Source organism: Homo sapiens, chromosome 20 (assembly GCF_000001405.40).
Source record: "Homo sapiens chromosome 20, GRCh38.p14 Primary Assembly".
Lineage (NCBI taxonomy): Eukaryota > Metazoa > Chordata > Mammalia > Primates > Hominidae > Homo > Homo sapiens.
Window position 1 is genome coordinate 34,113,873 of NC_000020.11, and position 22,124 is coordinate 34,135,996.

At 44.2% G+C, this 22,124-nt stretch overlaps 1 pseudogene, besides 2 other annotated features; it reads left to right on the forward strand.

Moving 5' to 3' along the window:
- Positions 8,474-9,455, forward strand: RPS2P1 (ribosomal protein S2 pseudogene 1; annotated as a pseudogene).
- Positions 10,822-10,891: a silencer, noted in NCBI's record as "silent region_12832". NCBI's record gives its function as "represses an Ori minimal core promoter by ATAC-STARR-seq in GM12878 lymphoblastoid cells {active_cell/tissue: GM12878}" and the evidence as "EXISTENCE:reporter gene assay evidence [ECO:0000049][PMID:35858748]".
- Positions 15,831-16,125: an enhancer, noted in NCBI's record as "tiled region #7536; HepG2 Activating DNase unmatched - State 4:PromP". NCBI's record gives its function as "activates a minimal TATA promoter and a strong SV40 promoter by Sharpr-MPRA in HepG2 cells {active_cell/tissue: HepG2}" and the evidence as "EXISTENCE:reporter gene assay evidence [ECO:0000049][PMID:27701403]".

Below are 22,124 nucleotides of genomic sequence, written 5' to 3' on the forward strand. Positions count from 1 at the left end.
TGGCTCACGCCTGTAATCCCAGCACTTTGAGAAGCCAAGGCGGGCGAATCACTAGGTCAAGAGATCGAGACCATCCTCGCCAACATGGCGAACGCCCATCTCTACTAAAAATACAAAAATTAGCTAGGCGTGGTGGTGCGCGCCTGTAGTCCCAGCTACTCAGGAGGCTGAGGCAGCAGAGTTGCTTGAACCCGGGAGGCGGAGGTGGCAGTGAGCCAAGATCAAGCCACTGCACTCCAGCCTGGCGACAGAGCTAGACTCCATCTCAAAATAATGGTAGTAATAAAAAAGGCCAGGCACGGTGGCTCACACCTGTAATCCCAGCACTTTGGGAGGCGAGGTGGGCGGATCACGAGATCAGGAGTTCGAGACCAGCCTGACCAACATGGTGAAACCCCATCTGTACTAAAAATACAAAAATTAGCGGGGCATGGTGGCGTGCTCCTGTAATCCCAGCTACTCAGGTGGCTGAGACAGGAGAATCACTTGAACTCGGGAGGCAGAGATTGCAGTGAGCCGAGATCGCACCACTGCACTCCAGCCGACAGAGCTCTGGGCGACAGAGCGAGACTCCGTCTCAAAAAAAAAAAAAAGGATAGAGATAGGAGATAGGAGCATATCTGTTTTTTTTGTTTTGTTTTGTTTTGTTTTTTGAGACGGAATTTCGCTCTTGTTGCCCAGGCTGGAGTACAATGGCACGATCTCGACTCACCGCAACCTCACTTCCTGGGTTCAAGCGATTCTCCTGCCTCAGTCTCCCAAGTAGCTGGGATTACAGGCATGCACCACCATGCCCAGCTAATTTTGTGTTTTTAGTTGAGACGGGGTTTCTCCATGTTGATCAGGCTGGTCTCGAACTCCCGACCTCAGGTGATCCGCCCACCTTGGCCTCCCAAAGTGCTGGGATTACAGGCGTGATCCACCGTGCCCGGCCTTATATCTGGTCATTTTTTTGTGGTTGGCACAATGTTTATTTTTGTTTGTTTATATTCAGACATCATTGTGGAGTGGTTTTGTTTTTGTTTGGACCCGCCGTGCTCACAGAATGGCCTTGTCTGATGTTGGTGTTCTGAAATTGTTAGTGTTCAACAGGGCAGCACATCCTAGTTAATAGTGCCAGCCGGCTTCCTGCTATCACGGGCTGCATCTCTTTTCACTGTGTTCCACATTACTTAATCATATTTGCTGCTTTAGGTCTCAACACAACTGTGTGAGATAATCCACAGACACCTAGTACTCTCTACTGGATATTAGTCCCTAATCTAAGCATGGCAGTTCCTTGCCTCCAAGGAGCTTACATCTTAGTGAGATGGATGGTTTATTAGCCCCTTTTTCCAGATGAGGAAACTGCTTTTGTGGCACTGAATAATTAGTCAGAAGCCATATACAGCCAGCAAAACAGGTAACCTGGGAATCCAAGTCCAGACAATCTGATGCCAGTGGCTGCCCCTTTACCACCTTGAGAATCTGAATCCCTAAGGAGCCTGGACTAGTGCCATCAAACCTCAGTCATTTTCAGCTACTGATATTTGTGCATACCAGAGTTACTCAATGGCAGCATTATTGACATATTGGCAGACAATTCTTTGTCAGGCCAGATAATTCTTTGTTGTGGGATGTTGTTCTGTGCATTGTAAGATGTTTAGCAGCATCCCAGCCTCTATATAATAAATGCCAGTGGCACCCTCCCCCTAGTTGTGACAACCAAAAATGTCTCCAGACACTCCCAAATATCCCCTGGGAGAGACAGAATCACCCCTGTTTGAGAACCACTGGTGTACATCATTTTTTGGATCTTTGAGAGAGAAACATTTGGTACATGACAGTCCCCAAATCATTTTAAGTGGGATGCCTTGAAGAGAAGAGAGGGAAACAGTGTGGCCTAAGTTTTGGAAAAGCCTGTTCAACTACAAAAATGACAGATAAAGGAAAAATAAATGAAATGGAAAAATGAAAGAAGACAAGTGGAAAAGGAGCTTATGAAATGATCTGTGGGCCAGACATGGTAGCTCACACCTGTAATCCCAGCACTTTGGGACGCCGAGGTGGGAGGATCGCTCGAGCTCAGGAGTTTGGGACTAGCCTGGGCAACATAGATCCATCTCTACAAAAAAAAAAATTTTTTTTAATTAAAAAATAAGTTACTCAGATCACACCAAAGAAGTTAGTTCACACTAACTTAAGTTACTCAGATCACACCAAGGAAGTTAGCTTGTTAGTTCACACTAACGAAGACACTAAGAGAACTAAGAAAGTCTTTTTTTTTTTTTCTTGAGACGGAGTATTGCTCTGTCGCCCAGGCTGGAGTGCAGTGGCTCGATCTCGGCTCACTGCAAGCTCCACCCACTGGGTTCACGCCATTCTCCTGCCTCAGCCTCCTGAGTAGGTGGAACTACAGGCGCCTGACACCACGCCCGGCTAATTGTTTTTGTATTTTTAGTAGAGATGGGGTTTCACTGTGTTAGCCAGGACGGGTCTCGATCTCCTGACCTCGTGATCTGCCGGCCTCAGCCTCACAAAGTGCTGGGATTATAGGCGTGAGCCACCACACCCAGCCAAGAAAGTCTTAATGAGACCTCGTTGTACCTTCACTCCCTGTTTGGGAAATGCTGCTGTGTTTAGCAAATACTCTTGACCACTTTTATGAAAAAATTTATTTTCCCTTACAGCATGGTACCAGGTGTAATCTCCCTGAACTGGCTATGTGCAAGAAGACTTCCTTCAGAGATTTCAGGCTTCCTCCAAGGTAGCAATTTCTTTTCTAGGAAAAGCCAAGATTCCCTGGCAAAAGTCACAAAGCAACGATAGCTAAACTTTTCCTGGTTTTCCAAGAGATTGATCCTACTAACAACACAAATAATTTATATTTTCATAACTTCTTTCCTCCAGGAATCTGCAATGCATATAGACACTTATGGATTTTCTTCTCAATACCTGTGAGAGAAATACTGTAATTTTGTTTTATAAATACAGAAGCCAAGTTATGGAATACACACACACACACACACACCAAGCAGAGATACAGAAACAAGACTATTGGACTTTTCATTCTGGGCCATGCTCAATACCACCCCAGATCTCCAACTGCCCAACAGTAAGCTAATGATGATAGTACTTCAATTGTATGCTTAATTATATGTTTTCATTGGCTTTGAACTATTCCACAGTCTCCACTTGACCCATAAAATAGCAGGCCTGTAGAGAATGTGACTTAAAGTTAAATAGTGACAGAACTTGAACTAGAACCCAGATCTCATGATTCTTAGTGCAATACTCTTTTTATTTAGTAAGCAAGGTCACACATCCTCATGGGTAATATTTAACTTACAGAAAACATGATTAAGATAAAAATTATAATCCACGTAGAAATTGGTATTTTCTGTGTGGATTATAGCCAGATTTTCTGTGGAAATGCAAGATTTTCCACATAGAAAATCTGGGTATTTTCCACAGCAAGTCATCCTCATCTCAGTTAAGAGTACTGCTCTTTACCCAGTTGCTTAAGTCAAAACCCAGGAGTTAGCCTTGATTCCTTCCTTTCCCTCACTTCTTCATTCAATTCACTATTGTCTTGTTGATTCAATGTCCAAAATAGATCTCAAATACAATCTCTTCTCTCGCCACTGCCACTAACCTGGTCCAGGTGATTGTCATCAGTTTTGGGATACTGCAGCTTTTCTCTTGTTCCTTCATAACACTCACCACAATTTGTTTAATTTGTCTGTTGTATACTTGTAGTTTTCTTAATCTCACTTCACTACTAGAATGTATGCAAATTTCTTGAACATAATACAAAAATCTGTCTTGTTAACTCTGATATTCCCAGCACCTAGCAGAGTGCCTGACTCATCATAGTCACTTAATAAATATTTGGTGGCTGGGTGCCGTGGCTTATGCCTGTAATCCCAGCACTTTGGGAGGCCGAGGTGGGCGGATCACCTGAGTTCAGGAGTTCGTGACCAGCCTGGCCAACATGGTGAAACCCTGTCTCTACTAAAAATACAAAAATTAGCTGGGCATGGTGGTGGGCACCTGTAATCCCAGCTCCTTGGGAGGCTGAGGCAGGAGAATTGCTTAAATCCGGGAGGTGGAGGTTGCAGTGAGCAGAGATCCAGCCACTGCACTCCAGCCTGGGCAACAGAGCGAGACTCCGTCTCAAAAAAATAATAAATAAATATTTGATAAATATTTACTGAATTAATGGTTGAAAACCCATTAGTCCCCAAAATTACATTGCTTACAATGAAATAGTTGAGGTTGGAGCCTTTATTTCATCATATATACTAAAAATGACCAAAGCTAACGTAATTAATCTCAGTTGTATTATAATATATCTGAAAGAATATGTTAGAATTGAAATGGTTTACTTGGAACCCAGAAGGAGAAGAATAAGCCAGGATGGCTTATTCCATTCAGCAGTGTTCAGGATAGAGAAATTATGAATCCAAAGAACATGGTTAAAAGCTAGTCATTAGAGAGGTATACTTGTTCTAGAGCGAAGATAAGCTCAGGCCTTACCTGTGACCTGAATGAAATGGGTCTTAATACCATCTCTTTTTTCAAATGATCAGAAGATCATTTGCCAAATAACATTTTCATTAGTGACTTAAAATCCTTGGTTCCTTTGCACTGGGAAGGAAATGCTCTAGACAGCAAACAAATATTTTACTCACTGGAAACATACATTCTATGTTATATTCCACAGAGACTGTAACTGTGAGGATAGGAAATTGTTAATGACAGCTGTGTCCCTAGTTCCTTAGAATAATGCTTCGCACAAAGTAGGTTCTTTACAACTATTTGATGAATGAATGAATGTACATTAGTAAATTAGGATTATCCTTTATACCACAATCTCTTATGAATTTGGTTATTGTGAATCAATCCTCAAGTATCTGTTCCATGATACATGCTTTAGGAAAATCAGATTTCTGGTTTTGGAGGCCAAATACGTGAGTTCCTCAGCTCTGGTGCTCTACTCCAGGAGTCTTTGAATGGCTGGGCGTGGTGGCTCATGCCTGTAATCCCAGCACTTTGGGAGGCTGAGGCAGGAGGATCACTTGAACTCAGGAGTTTGAGAGCAGCCTGGGCAATATAGTGAGACCCTGTCTCTGTAACAAATAAAAAGCTCTGGGTATTTTTCACAACAAGTCATCCTCAATGACTGCTGTGGAACAAAACAAGGGTCTTTGAGATCTTATTTGGTTAGTCCCTGACCTCCTTCTCCCATATCTTTTTCTTGGTTCTCTTGTAACTCCAGTTCATCCTCCATCTAGCCCATCGAGTTTCCTGGGGCCGGGAAAAAAACACTAATCAAGCTGCTCCCTTGCCTAAAAATCAGTTAATTCTCTGTTACCTTCAGAAGAATAGATTTCCACAGTCTGCCTCCAAGCCCCTCTCACCATGCTACTGTCTACCCTTCTTACCATTCTCCATTGTGTATGCTGTTTCAGTCATACTAAATCATTTAATATTTCATAAACATGCTGTGCCATTTCATTTTTTCCATGCTGTTCCCTCTCTAGAACGTCCTTCCCTCCTGTTCCCGGAATCTGATGAACTCCTGTCATCCTTTAAGATCCAGATCTAGACTTTACTTTTTTAAAGAAGCCTTTGATTTCTGTACAAGGGAAAAAAATGATTCCTTTCTCTCTACTTGTCTTTTTTCTATTACAGCTCTTATATTATGTTGTAGCTGTCTTTGAGATCCTGGAGGGTGGGATCTGTACCTTACTCATATTTCTTTGCTTTCCCAAAACCTAGCACATGTTTGTGAATGCAGGCACCCGTATGGGGCGATAGGTATAAGTGCTAATTACTAACTTGCACCAGTCTTCACTTCTTGAATGTCGCCTCCTTCCCAAGAGAGGATGGGAAAACCTCCCAGCTGTATTCTGTTTGGAATAATTGGATGTGAGCATAGGAAATAAATATGTTTTACATACTCCTTTTATGATTCACTATAAAAGGAGGTGATCAGTTTTTGTTTTCACTTTTTTGAGACAGGGTCTCACTTTGTCACCTAGGCTGGAGTGCAGTGGCATGATCATGGCTCACTGCAGCCTCAAACTTCTGGGCTCAGGCAATCCTCCTGCCTTATCCTCTCAAGTAGCTAGGACTACAGGCAAGTACCTCCACACCCAGCTAATTAAAAAAAAAAATTGTAGAGATGGGGGTCTCACTGTGTTGCCCCAGCTGGTCTCAAAGTCCTGGCCTCGAGTGATTCTCCCACCTCGGCCTCCCAGTGTGCTGGGATTACAGGCGTGAGCCATAAAAGCACCTGATAGTCTTCTTGAAAGATTAGCAGACTTTCAGTAAGAAGTAATTAAGTGTACCTTGTATACACTCAGCACCTTGGTCACTATTCATTGCCCATCTTTCTCCCTTGCTCTTAAGAGACTTATAACCCCAGTACCCAGCACAGTGCATAGCACCTATTAGGAGCTCAGTAAACATTTGTTGAGGCTGGGTGCAGTGGCTCATGTCTGTAATCCCAACACTTTGGGAGGCCACAGTAGGAGGATTGCTTGAGGCCAGTAGTTTGAGACCAGCCTGGACAGCATAGTGAGACCCTGTCTCTACAAAAAAGTAATTAAAAAAAAATTAGCCGGGCATGGTGGCATGTGCCAGTGGCCCCAACTAATCAAGAGGCTGAGGCAAGAGAATCTCTTGGGCTCAGGAGTTCGAGGCTGCAGTGAGTTATGATCACACCACTGCACTCCACCCTGGGTGACAGCAAGACCCTGTTCTCTTTTAAAAAATCAATTAAAAAAAAAAGAATATGAATGTTTTTTGATGATGTTATCCAAGGTTACTTAGTATCTTGCCATCTGTACAGAAGACTTCAAAACTCTTAAGAAAACCACAATGAGATACTACCTTACACCCAGTAGAATTGCTATTAATTAAAAAAAAAACCTCCAGAAAATGACACATATTATCAAGATGTGGAAAAACTGGAACGCTTGTGTATGTTGGCAGGACTGTAAAATGGTGCAGCCCTATGGAAAAGAGTATGGTGGTTCCTCAAACATTTTTAAACAGAATTACCATATAATCTAACAATTCAATTACTACGTATATTTAAAAAATAAAAATAAAAAAACAAAAAAAAAACCTGAAAGGGCTGGGCATGGTAGCTCACACCTGTAATCCCAGCACTTTGGGAGGCTGACGTGGGCGGATCACCTGAGGTCAGGAGTTTGAGACCAGCCATGGTCAACATGGTAAAACCCCATCTCTACTAAAAATACAAAAAATTAGCCAGACATGGTGGCCGGCGCCTGTAATCCCAGCTACTCAGGAGGCTGAGGCAGGAGAAACACTTGAGCCCAGGAGGCAGAGGTTGCAGTGAGCTGAGATCGTGCCATCACACTCCAGCCTGGGCAACAAGAGCGAAGCTCTGTCTCAGAAAAAAAAAAAAAACAAAACAAAACTGAAAGCAGTGTCTCAAAGAGATATTTTTATGTCCATGTTCACAACAGCATTATTCATACCTGAGAAGCACCCCGGGTGTCCATCAGTGGATGAATGGGTAATCAAAATATGGTGTGTACATACAATAGAATATCATTCAGCCTTAAAAAGGAAGGAAATTCTGATACATGCCACAATATGGATGAACCTCAAGAACATTATGCTTAGTGAAATAAGCTAGCCACAAAAAGACGAATACTGTGTTATCCCATTTATTTGAGGTACCTAGAATAGTCAAATTCATAGAAAGAGAAAGTAGAATGGCGGTTGCTAGGGGCTAGGGAGAGAGGGGGGAAGAGAGAGTTGTTGTCTAATAGGTACAGAGTTCCAGTTTTGCAAGATGGAAAGAGTTCTGGAAATTGGTTGTACAGCAATGTGAATATACTTAAAAATAGTTGAAAAGATAAATTTTATGGTATTTGTATTTTACCATATTTTTTAAAAAGAGAGCACTAAACTGGGAGACAAAAGACCAAGGTTGGAGTTCTTGGTTGTTTTCCACAGATAGATCAGTCTCAAGGAATTTGAGACTTCCTTGAAACTCAAGGAAGTACTCAAGGAAGTTGAGTAAAGGAAGCTTCTTTACTCATTGTTTCTGTTAATTCATCTTTAAACAGGATAAAAAAGACTGTGGAGTCTAGATTTGTATGAGGATCAAATAAAAACCAAAAAAAACAAACGTTTAAAATAATTTTTTGAGTTGTAGTTGTTCTCAATATTCCAGAGCCTCTGATCTCTTGATATTTGTTACAAGTTTCACATCTTATTTCATAATGAAATGCTAAAGATGCCTCAGCAATAGCCAGTTGACTTCAAAGGTCTTGTATGAGGAATCCTTTTAATTTGGGCTATTCACCTTATAATTTGGTCCTGGGAAAACAGCAAATAAATAAACTTTTATGAGGACTATTTATGATCTAAGATGCTAATTATCAATGTAGTTTAGCATGAACTAATGAAATACAAGCTCAGGATTTTCATGTTAGTATAAAAAAGCTCTTCTTCAACAAATCCCCAAATGGCGGATGACGCCTGTGCAGGGGGCGGCAGGGCGTGGGGTGCGGAGGTCGGGTGGAGGCCGGGCGGAGGCCGGGCGGAGGCCCCCGCAAGCCCTGGGAGGGATGGGGAACCGCGGTGGCTTCCGCGGAGGTTTCGGCGGTGGCATCCGGGGCCAGGGTCATGGCCGTGGACTGGGCCGGAGCCGAGGCCATGGAGCTCGCAGAGGCAAGGCCGAGGATAAGGAGTAGATGCCCGTCACCAAGCTGGGCCACCTGGTCAAGGACATGAAGATCAAGTACCTGGAGGATGTCTCTTCTCCCTGCCCATCAAGGAATCTGAGACCATTGACTTTTTTCTGGGGTCCTCTCTCAAGGAAGAGGGTTTGAAGATTATGCCGGTGCAGAAGCAGACCCGCGCGGGCCAGCGCACCAGGTTCAAGGCGTTTGTTGCCACCGGGGACTACAATGGCCACGTCGGTCTGTGCGTTAAGTGCTCCAAGGAGGTGGCTACTGCCATCCGCGGGTCCGTCATCCTGACCAAGCACTCCATTGTCCCCGTGCGCAGAGGCTACGGGGGAACAAGATGGACAAGCCCACACCGTCCCTTGCAAGGTGACAGGCCGCTGCGGCTCTGTGCTGGTGCACCTCATCCCTGCACCCAGGGGCACTGGCATCGTCTCCGCACCTGTGCCCAAGAAGCTCCTCATGATGGCTGGTATTGATGACTGCCACACCTCAGCCAGGGGCTGCACTGCCACCCTGGCAACTTCGCCAAGGCCACCTTTGACACCATCTCTAAGACCTACAGCTACCTGACCCTCGACCTCTGGAAGGAGACTATATTCACCAAGTCTCCCTATCAGGAATTCACTGACCACCTCGTCAAGACCCACACCAGAGTCTCCATGCAGAGGACCCAGGCTCCAGCTGTGGCTACAGCATAGGGTTTTTATACAAGAAAAACAAACTGAATTAAGCCTGAAAAAAAAAAAAAAAGCTGGTCTCAAATTAGGGGCCAACATGGAAGAATTAATATCTGTTGAGTACTTACTAAGTGTCAGGCCCTATAGATGTTACATGCATTATCTCATTTAATACTCAACAACAGCCTTGTCAGGTTAAAAGTATTATACCCATTTTATAAACAGGTTAATGAAGGCTCAGAGAGTGTCAGTCACTTACCCAACATAACCCAGTGAGTAACAGAGATGGAATTTGAGCCCAAGTCTGTGTGAATCTGAAGCCCATATTATTTCTACTATGTTACAGTGCCTCTGAAAATATATTTAACTGTGCCTACTTCTAATAGAGTTTATGATAAATGATATATATTTGATGTTTATATATTTATATCAATTATTTTACTTCATCATTACAAGTAAGATAGACTATCTAGGGATGATTATCACCACTTTACAGATGAGGAAACAGATGGTCAGAAAATTTAACTTACCTAGCTTCAGACCAGTAAATGATAATAACAGGGCTTGGACACATGTACCGCAACTCTCAGACTCCTACTTTTTCCACATTGGCCTATGAGAGTAGAATTTTATCTATATTTTACCTATGAATTTTCTTTTTTTTTTTTTTTTTTTTTTTGGAGACGGAGTCTTACTCTGTCGCCCAGGCTGGAGTGCAGTGGTGCAATCTTGACTCACTGCAACCTCTGTCCCCCAGCTTCAAGCGATTCTTCTGCCTCAGCCTCCCAAGTAGCTGGGAGGGATTACAGTCGCCTGCCACTGTGCCTGGCTAATTTTTGTATTTTTAGTAGAAATGGGGTTATATCATCTTGGCCAGGCTGATCTTGAACTCCTGACCTCATGATCTACTCGCCTTGGCCTCCCAAAGTGCTGGATTACAGGCGTGAGCCACCTCGCCCAGCCATATCTATGAATTTTCTGGTTCTAACTTTTTTTAATAGGAGCAAAGAGTGGACATCTTGACAGTCTTGCACTTCTGTTTATGCTTGGACAGATTAAACACATATGTTTATCCCTGTTCACTCCCCAAATCACTGAAGTGACAGTGAGTTAACATTTTTAGGTTTACCAGTCTACAGACAAAGAGAATAAGAAAGAAATCAATAGCAGATTAAGGATATCAACAAATTTTTGGAAGATGGAAAACCATAGCTGAGCTGAGAAAACAATTCTAAATGTTTGCTGAGGGTTATACTAACAAGGGACAAACAGATTCGTACTGCAGAACACTAGAATGTCAGGACTGGGACAGAGCAGATCAGAGGTGATGTGAGAGGCAGAAGAGAGAGGGTTTGGCTGAAAGCCTTTATAGGAAGTGAAACTGCCAGGTCTTTTTCTCCATCCTACTCACTTAGACAACTACCCTTTCATCTCCCTAGCAGCCCCTGGGACAAAATTGAGGTAGAGAAGTTCCAGACACTGAGATACCAGGCACAGCTAAAGATATAATAGCAGGGAGGCTAAGGTAGGAGGATTTCAGACTGAAAACAGAGATTAGATGAATTGTCTACATGCTGAATGGTGAAGCGCACTCAGTCCTCCTGCTGAAATTTATTCCAGGAATGCTGACAGCAAGGCTTGTATTCTCCAGGCAAGATATCAGGGAATTAATTTTAATTAATTAACCCCAGAGGAAAGATCTATACATACTGATATTTGAGGTCCCCCAACAAAACACCTAGGTACCCACTTTATCATCCTACAGATAAACTTCCTGTTAACACAGAGCTTCCAAATACTTAGTGACTCACTCTTAAATATGAAGAGACAACAAAGGGTCACCAGATATTTAAGATAAACCTCCACCAGGAAAGACAGCATCAAATAGAGAAAAAAGAAACTCAAAGGGAACAGAAACTGAAGAGAACAGAAAAATATTTTTAAAAAACAATAAGCAGTCTATGAGAGATAATAGAAAATACTGCATCCATAAAGCAAAGATAAAATGCTCTAAAAAAAATAGAGTAAGTAACAGCTCTGGGGAATTAAAAATATAATAGAAAAATTGGCTGGGCATTATGGCTCATGCCTGTAATCCCAGCACTTTGAGAAGCCAAGGTAGAAGGATTGTTTAAAGCCAGGAGTTCAAGACCAACCAGGGCAATATTAGATAGACCTCTTCTCTGCTAAACATTCTTTTAAAAAGAGAAATTAGGCTTGGTTCAGTGGCTCACGCCTGTAATCCCAGCACTTTGGGAGGCCGAGGCGGGCGGATCACGAGGTCAGGAGATCGAGACCATCCTGGCTAACATGGTGAAACCCCATCTGTACTAAAAATACAAAAAATTAGCCGGGCATGATGGCGAACACGTGTAGTCCCAGCTACTAGGGAGGCTGAGGCGGAAGAATGACATGAACCCAGGAGGCAGAGCTTGCAGTGAGCCGAGATCACACTACTGCACTCCAGCCTGGGCAACAGAGCGAGACTCCATCTCAAAAAAATAATAAATAAATAAATAAATAAATAAATAATAAAAAAAGAAAAAAAATTAGCCAGCTGTGGTGGCTCATGCATGTGGTCCCAGCTACTTAGGAGGCTGAGTCAGGAGGGCTGCTCAAGCCCAGGAGATGGAGGCTGCAGTGAGCTATGATCATGCCACTGCACTCCAGCCTGGGCAATACAGCAAGACCTGTTCTCAAATAATAATAATAGAAAAATAAATAATTTATATAAGTCTTAATATATAAAGTTGAGGAAATCTCTCAGAAAGTAGAACAGAAATACAAATGGAAAAATAAAAGAGAAAAGATAATTAGAGGATGAATCCATAAGGTCGACCATTAGATTAACAGGAGTTCTGGAAATACAGAAGAAATGGAAGAAAATTATCAAAGAAACTGAGTTTCCAGAGTGGCAGAGCCTGCTGAGTGCCCAGCATAATGAAAGAAAACAAAACAAAGGAAAAACATTATGGCACATCATCATGAAATTTTTTAACACAAAGGATAAAGAGAAAATCAAAAATCTTGGTGATAGGAGGTGAGGAGGGGGCAGGGAAAGGGCAACAGGTTACTTATGAAAGAGCAGGTAATAGGAATAGCATTTTTGTCCATAGTAACATTAGTGGCTAGAAGACGATATAGGGAGGCTTTCAAAATTCTGAGAGAAAATACGTTTTCAATCTAGAACTCCTATACTAAGCCATATTATCAGTCAAGTATGAGGAATAAATAAGTATATTTTTAGGCATGCAAGGATCAGAAATTTACCCCTCATCCCCACATAACTTTTCTTAGGAAAGCACTGGAGGATTTGCTCTAGTAAAACAAGAAAGACAGAAAAAAAATCCTAAAATTTGTATGGAACAAAAAGTCCAAATAGTCAAAGCAATCCTAAGCAAAAAGAACAAAGCTAGAGGCATCACACCACCTGAATTTAAAATATACTGCAAGGCTCTAATAACCAAAACAGCATGGTATTGATATAAAAACACAGACCAAGGGAACAAAAAGAGAACCCAGAAATAAATCCACGTACAGCCAATTGATTTTTGACAAAGGTACCAAGCACATACATTGGGGAAAAATGTTGTTGGGAAAACTGGATATCCATATCCAGAAGAATGAAACTAAACTCCTGTCTCTCACCATACGCAAAAAATCAACTCAAAATGTATAGGGAAAAGAAAGAGCGATCAGACTGTTACTGTGTCTATCTAGAAAAAGTAAGACAAAAGAAACTCCATTTTGATCTGTACTAAGAAAAATTGTTCTGCTTTGAGATGCTGTTAATCTGTAACTCTTGTCCCAACCCTGTGCTCACAAAAACATGTGCTGTATTGACTCAAGTTTTAAGGGATTTAGGGCTGTGCAGGATGTGCTTTGTTAAAAATGTTTTTGCAGCCAGGCGCAGTGGCTCATGCCTGTAATCCCAGCACTTTGGGAGGCCGAGGCGGGCAGATCATGAGGTCAGGAGATCGAGATCATCTTGGCTAATATGGTGAAACCCTGTCTGTACTAAAAATACAAAAGATTAGCCAGGCGTGGTGGCGGGCCCCTGTAGTCCCAGCTACTCGGGAGGCTGAGGCAGGAGAATGGCATGAACCTGGGAGGCGGAGCTTGCAGTTAGCCGAGATTGAGCCACTGCACTCCAGCCTGGGTGACAGAGCAAGACTCCGTCTCAAAAAAAAAAAAAAAAAAAAAATCACACCTGTAATCCCAGCACTTTGGGAGGCTGAGGCGGGCAGATCACGAGGTCTGGAGATCAAGACCATCCTGGCTAACACGGTGAAATCCCGTCTCTACTAAAAATACAACAAATTAGCTGGGCGTGGTGGTAGGCGCCTGTAGTCCCAGCTACTCGGGAGGCTGAGGCAGGAGAATGGCATGAACCCAGGAGGCAGAGCTTGCAGTGAGCCGAGATCGTGCCACTGCACTCCAGCCTGGGCGACAGCGCAACACTCCTTCTCAAAAAAAAAAAAAAATGTGTTTGCAGGCAGTATGCTTTGTGAAAGTCATCGCCATTCTCCATTCTCTATTAATCAGGGACACAATGCACTGTGGAAGGCCGCAGGGACCCCTGCCCAAGAAAGCCTGGGTATTGTCCAGGTTTCCCCGGACTGAGACAGCCTGAGATATGGCCTCGTGGGGAGGGAAAGACCTTACAGCCCCCCAGCCCGACACCCGTAAAGGGTCTGTGCTAAGGAGATTAGTGAAATAGGAAGGCCTCTATGCGGTAGAGATAAGAGTGTGGCATCTGTCTCCTGCACGTCCCTGGGAATGGAATGTCTCGGTGTAAAACCCGACCATACATTCTATTTACTGAGATAGGAGAAAACCTCCTTATGGCTGGAGATGAGACATCATGGCGGCAATACTGCTCTGTTACTCTTTACTGCACTGAGGTGTTTATGTAAGCTTAAACATAAATCTAGCGATTGTGCACATCCAGGCACAGCACCTTTTCTTAAACTTATTCATGACACAGAGTCTTTGCTCACATGGTCTTCTGCTGATCCTCTCCCCACCTTCACCCTATAGCCCCGCCACATTCCCCTTGCTGAGATAGTAAAGATAGTGATCAATAAATACTGAGGGAACTCAGAGACCAGCGCTGGTGCAGGTCCTCACTTGCTGAGCGCCGGTCCCTGGGCCCATTTTTCTTCCGCTATACTTTGTCTCTATGTCTTATTTCCTTTTCTCAGTCTCTCGTCTCCACCTTGCGAGAAATACCCACAGGTGTGCAGGGGCAGGCCCTCTTCATCTGGTGCCCAATGTGGGTTCCTTTCTCTACGGTGAAGATACGCTAGAGTGTGATCATTGAAGACAAATCGACGAGAGATTCCCGAAGACTTCCATGATCAGCCTTGTGGTAAGCTTGTGCACTCAGAGAAACCCAGGGTAAGAATGGGTCAAACTGAAAGCAAATATGCCTCTTATCTCAGCTTTATTAAAGTTATTTTAAGAAGAGGGGGAGTTAGAGCCTCCACAGAAATCTAATCATGCTATTTCAAACAATAGAACAATTCTGCCTATGGTTTCCAGAATAGGGAACGTTAGATCTAAAAGACTGGGAAAAAATTGGCAAAGAATTAAAACAAGCAAATAGGGAGGATAAAATCATCCCACTTACAGTATGGAATGATTGGGCCATTATTAAAATAGGTTTAGAATCATTTCAAACAGAAGAAGATAGCGTTTCAGTTTCTGATGCCCCTGAAAGCTGTGTAATAGATTGTGAGGAAGAGGCAGGGACAGAATTCAAGAAAGTAACGCAAGGTTCACAGTATAAAAAGGTAGATGAGTCTGGCTGGGCGCAGTGGCTCACACCTGTAATCCCAGCACTGTGGGAGGCCGAGGCGGATGGATCACAAGGTCAGGAGATCGAGACCGTCCTGGCTAACACAGTGAAACCCTGTCTTTACTAAAAAAATACAAAAACTTAGCCAGGCGTCGTGGCAGGTGTCTGTAGTCCCAGCTACTCGGGAGGCTGAGGCAGGAGAATGGCGTGAACCTGGGAGGCGGAGCTTGCAGTGAGCCGAGATGGCACCACTGCACTCCAGCCTGGGCAACAGAGCGAGACTCCGTCTCGAAAAAAAAAAAAAGAAAAAAAGGGTAGAAGAGTGTAATGGCTCAGTCAACGGAAAATGTTGACTACAACCAATTACAGGAGGTAATATATTATGAACCATCAAAATTGGGGGGAAAAGGTCTAGAACTATTGGGGCCATCAGAGTCTAACCCACGATGGCCAACTCCTCCTCCCACAGTTCAGATGCCCGTAACATTACAACCTCAAATGCAGGTTAGACAAGTACAAACCCCAAGAGAATATCAGATAGAAAAGGATAGTCTCTATCACAGCAATGCCAATCCAGATACAGTATTCACAATATCAGCTGGTAGAAAGTAAGACCCAACCGCCAGTACCCTATCAATACTGACCGCCAGCCGAACTTCAGTATCAGCCGCCCCCCAGAAAATCAGTATGGACAGCCAGGAACGTTTCCAGCACCACAGGGCACGCACGGCGATATAGCCTCAGCTGCCCACTATGAGACTTAATCCTACACCACCACCTAGTGGACAGGATGGTGCATTACATGAAATTATTGAGAAGGCAAGAAAACAAGGAGAGATACTGAGGCGTTTTAATTTCAAGTAATATTAGAGCCCATACTACCTGGAGAAGGGCCCTCCCCAAGCTGATGCCAGATATGAGTCCTTTTCTATAAAAATGCTAAAAGACATGAAAGAGGGAGTAAAACAGTATGGACCCAATTCTCCTTATATGAGAACATTATTAGATTCCATTGCTCATGGAAATAGACTTATTCCTTATGACTGGGAAATTTTGGCCAAATCATCACTCTCACCTTCTCAATTTTTACAATTTAAGACCTGGTGGATTGATGGGGTACAACAACAGATCCGCAAAAATAGGGCCGCCAATCCCAGTTAACATAGATGCAGGTAAAAAATAGAAAAATTAAACCACAAAAAATAGAAATAAGAAAAGACACATTAAAAACATTAAATGACTTTCAAAAATTGCTAGGAGATATTAATTGGATTTGGCCAATTTTAGGCATTCCTACTTATGCCATGTCAAATTTGTTCTCTATCTTAAGAGGGGACCCGGACTTAAATAGTAAAAGAATATTGACCCCAGAGGCAGCAAAAGAAATTGAATTAGTTGAAGAAAAAATTTGGTCAGCACAAGTAAATAGAATAGATCCCTTGGTCCCACTCCAACTTTTGATTTTTGCTACTGCACATTCTCTGACAGGCATCATTGTTCAAAATACTGATCTTGTGGAGTGGTCATTCCTTCCTCACAGTACAATTAAGACTTTTACATTGCATCAAATAGCTACATTAATTGGTCAGGCAAGGTTATGAATAATAAAATTGTGTGGAAGTGACCCAGACAAAATCATTGTTCCTTTAAACAAGGAACAGGTTAGACAAGCCTTTATCAATTCTTGTACATGGCAGACTGGTCTTGCTGATTTTGTGGGAATTATTGACAATCATTACCCAAAAACAAAAACCTTCCAGTTTTTAAAATTGACTACTTGGATTTTACCTAAAATTACCAGACATGAACCTTTAGAAAATGCTCTGACGGTGTTTACTAATGGTTCCAGCAATGAAAAAGCAGCTTACATTGGGCCAAAAGAACAAGTCATCGAAACTCAATATCACTGGGCTCAAAGAGCAGAGTTGGTTACAGTCATTACAGTGTTACAAGATTTTAATCAGCCTATTAATATTGTATCAGATTCTGCATATGTAGTACAGGCTACAAGGGATGTTGAGACAGCCCTAATCAAATATAGTATTGATGATCAGTTAAACCAGCTGTTCAACTTATTACAACAAACTGTGAGAAAAAGAAATTTCCCATTTTGTATTACTCACATTGAAGCACACACTAATTTACCAGGGTCTTTAACTAAAGCAAATGAACAAGCTGACTTACTGGTATCATCTGCATTCATAAAAGCACAAGAACTTCATGCTTTGACTCATGTAAATGCAGCAGGATTAAAAATAAATTTGATATCTCATGGAAACAGGCAAAAAATATTGTACAACATTGCACCCAGAGTCAAGTCCTACACCTGCCCACTCAAGAGGCGGGAGTTAATCCCAGAGGTCTATGTCCTAATGCGTTATGGCAAACGGATGTCACACATGTATCTTCATTTGGAAAATTATCATTTGTCCATGTGACAGTTGATACTTATTCACATTTCGTATGGGCAACTTGCGAGACAGGAGAAAGTACTTCCCATGTTAAAAGACATTTATTATATTGTTTTGCTCTCATGGGAGTTCTGGAAAAAATTAAAACTGACAATGGGCCAGGATACTGTAGTAAAACATTCCAAAAATTCTTAAATCAGTGGAAAATTACACATACAACAGGAATTCCCTATAATTCCCAAGGATAGGCCATAGTTGAAAGAACTAATAGAACACTCAAAACTCAATTGGTTAAACAAAAAAGAACTCTCCCTTTCCCTCTCCCTCTCCCCCTCCCTCTCCATCTCTGTCTCCATCTCCCTCTCCCCACGGTCTCCTTCTCCCTGTCTTTCCACGGTCTCCCTCTGATGCCGAGCCGAAGCTGGACTGTACTGCTGCCATCTCGGCTCACTGCAACCTCCCTGCCTGATTCTCCTGCCTCAGCCTGCTGAGTGCCTGGGATTGCAGGCACGCGCCGCCACGCCTAACTGGTTTTCGTATTTTTTTGGTGGAGACGGGGTTTCGCTGGGTTGGCCGGGCTGGTCTCCAGCTCCTAACCGCGAGTGATCTGCTAGCCTCAGCCTCCCGAGGTGCCGGGATTGCAGACGGAGTCTCGTTCACTCAGTGCTCAATGTTGCCCAGGCTGGAGTGCAGTGGCGTGATCTCGGCTAGCTACAACCTCCACCTCCCAGCCGCCTGCCTTAGCCTCCCAAAGTGCGGAGATTGCAGCCTCTGCCCGGCCGCCACCCCGTCTGGGAAGTGAGGAGCGTCTCTGCCTGGCCGTCCATCGTCTGGGATGTGAGGAGCCCCTCTGCCCGGCTGCCCAGTCTGGGAAGTGAGGAGCGCCTCTTCCCGGCCGCCATCCCATCTAGGAAGTGAGGAGCGTCTCTGCCCGGCCGCCCATCGTCTGAGATGTGGGGAGCGTCTCTGCCCCGCTGCCCCGTCTGGGATGTGAGGAGCACCTCTGCCCGGCCGCCACCCCATCTGGGAGGTGAGGAGCGTCTCTGCCCGGCTGCCCCGTCTGAGAAGTGAGGAGCCCCTCCGCCCGGCAGGTGCCCCATCTGAGAAGTGAGGAGCCCCTCCACCCGGCAGGCGCCCCTTCTGGGAAGTGAGGAGCGCCTCCGCCCGGCAGCTGCCCCGTCCGGGAGGGAGGTGGGGGGCCCTCCGGGAGGGAGGTGGGGGTCAGCCCCCGCCAGGCCAGCCGCCCCGTCCAGGAGGGAGGTGGGGGGGTCGGCCCCCCGCCCGGCCAGTCGCCCCATCCGGGAGGTGAGGGGTGCCTCTGCCTGGCTGCCCCAACTGGGAAGTGAGGAGCCCCTCTGCCCGGCCAGCCGCCCCATCCGGGAGGGAGGTGGGGGGGTCAGTCCCCCGCCCGGCCAGCCGCCCCGTCCGGGAGGGAGGTGGGGGGGTCAGCCCCCCGCACGGCCAGCTGCCCCGTCCGGGTGGTGAGGGGCACCTCTGCCCGGCCGCCCCTACTGGGAAGTGAGGAGCCCCTCTGCCCGGCCAGCCGCCCCGTCCGGGAGGGAGGTGAGGGGGTCAGCCCCCTGCCCGGCCAGCCGCCCCGTCCGGGAGGTGAGGGACGCCTCTGCCCGGCCGCCCCTGCTGGGAGGTGGGGAGCCCCTCTGCCTGGCCACCACCCCGTCTGAGAGGTGTGCCCAACAGCTCATTGAGAGCGGGCCGGGATGACAATGGCGGCTTTGTGCAATAGAAAGGGGGGAAGGGTGGGGAAAAGATTGAGAAATCGGATGGTTGCGGTGTCTGTGTAGAAAGAGGTAGACATGGGAGACTTTTCATTTTGTTCTGTACTAAGAAAAATTATTCTGCCTTGGGATCCTGTTGATCTGTGACCTTACCCCCAACCCTGTGCTCTCTGAAACATGTGCTGCGTCCACTCATGGTTAAATGGATTAAGGGTGGTGCAAGATGTGCTTTGTTAAACAGATGCTTGAAGGCAGCATGCTCGTTAAGAATCATCACCACTCCCTAATCTCAAGTACCCAGGGACACAAACACTGCGGAAGGCCGCTGCCTAGGAGAACCAGAGACCTTTGTTCACTTGTTTATCTGCTGACCTTCCCTCCACTATTGTCCTATGACCCTGCCAAATCCCCCTCTGTGAGAAACACCCAAGAATGATCAATAAAAATTAAAAAAAAAAACAAAAAAAAAAAAACAAAAAAAAAAAGAAAAAGCTGACACAGTTCTCTGAAAAAAGCCTAGAGAACACAAGGGTGACACAAACTCCAGAGAGTATGCTGCTTGCAGCTTTGATGATTGTATCAACAGTGGTAAGTCACCCCATGTCTGCAGGAGCAGCTGCAGCTAATTATACCTACTGGGCCTATGTGCCTTTCCCACCCTTAATTCGGGCAGTCACATGGATGGATAATCCTATTGAAGTATATGTTAATAATAGTGCATGGGTACCTGGCCCCATAGAGGATCGTTGCCCTGCCCAACTCGAGGAAGAAGGAATGATGATGAATATTTCAATTGAGTATCGTTATACTCCTATTTGCCTAGGGAGGGCACAAGGATGCTTAATGCCTGAAACCCAAAATTGGTTGGTAGAAGTACCTACTGTCAGTACCACCAGTAGATTTACTTATCACATGGTGAGTGGAATGTCACTCAGGCCACAGGTAAATTATTTACAGGACCCTTCTTATTAAAGATCATTATAATCTAAGTCTAAGGGGAAGCCTTGGCCCAAGGAAATTCCCAAAGGATCAAAAAGCCCAGAAGTTTTAGTTTGGGAAGAATGTGTGGCTGATAGTGCGGTGATACTACAAAACAATGAATTCAGAACTATTATAGATTGGGCATCTCGAGGTCAATTCTACCGCAGTTGCACAGGACAAACTCAATCTTGTTCCAGTGCACATGTGAGTCCGGCTGTGAACAGTGACTTCAGAGAAGGTTTAGATAAAAATAAGTACAAAAGGTTAGAATCTCCCTACCCTTGGGAATGGGCAGAAAAAGGAATCTCTGCTACAAGACCAAAGATAATAAGTCCTGTCATTGGTCCTGAACATCTAGAATTATGGAGGCTTATGTGGCCTCGCACCACATTGGAATTTGGTCTGGAAATCAAGTTATAGGAACAAAAGACCGTAAGCCATCTTATACTATTGACCTAAATTCCAGTCTGACAATTCCTTTGCAAAGTTGTGTAAAACCCCCTTATATGCTAATTGTAGGAAACATAGTTATTAAACCAGATTCCCAAACTATAACCTATGAAAATTGTAGATTGTTTACTAGCATTGATTCGACTTTTAATTGGCAGCACCGTATTCTACTAGTGAGAGCAAGAGAGGGCGTGTGGATTCCTGTGTCCATGGACCGACCGTGGGAGGCTTCGCCATCTGTCCATATTTTGACTGAAGTATTAAAAGGAGTTCTAAATAGATTCAAAAGATTCATTTTTACTTTGATGCAGTGATTATGGGATTAATTGCAGTCACAGCTACGGCTGCTGCGGCAGAAGTTGCATTGCACTCTTCTGTTCAGACAGTACGCTTTGTTAACAATTGGCAAAAAAATTCTATGAGATTGTGGAATTCACAATCTGGTATTGATCAAAAATTGTCGAACCCAATTAATGATCTTAGACAAACTGTCATTTGGATGGGAGATAAGCTCATGAGCTTGGAAATCGTTTTCAGTTACACTGTGACTGGAATACATCAGATTTTTGTATTACACCCCGAGCCTATAATGAGTCTGAGCATCACTGGGACATGGTTAGACGCCATCTACAGGGAAGAGAAGATAATCTTACTTTAGACATTTCAAAATTAAAAGAGCAAATTTTCAAAGTATCAAAAGCCCATTTACATTTCGTACCAGGAACTTAGGCAATCGCAGGAGCTGCTGATGGCTTCACAAATCTTAACCCTGTCACTTGGGTTAAAACCCTCAGAAGTTCCACTATTGTAAATTTCATATTAATCCTTGTGTGCCTATTCTGTCTGTTGTTAGTCTACAGGTGTAACCAGCAGCTCCGAAGAGACAGTAACCATCAAGAACAGGCCATAATGAAGATGGCGGTTTTGTCAAAAGAAAAGGGGGAAGTGTGAGGAAAAGAAAAAGAGATCAGATTGTTACTGTGTCTATCTAGGAAAAGGAAGACAAAAGAAACTCCATTTTGATCTGTACTAAGAAAAATTGTTCTGCTTTGAGATGCTGTTAATCTGTAACTCTTGTCCCAACCCTGTGCTCGCAAAAACATGTGCTGTATTGACTCAAGGTTTAAGGGAGGGCTGTGCAGGATGTGCTTTGTTAAAAATGTGTTTGCAGGCAGTATATTGGTGAAAGTCATCGCCATTCTCCATTCTCTGTTAACCAGGGACACAATGCACTGTGGAAGTCTGCAGGGACCCCTGCCCAAGAAAGCCTGGGTATTGTCCAGGTTTCCCCCGACTGAGACAGCCTGAGATATGGCCTCATGGGAAGGGAAAGAACTTACAGCCCCCCA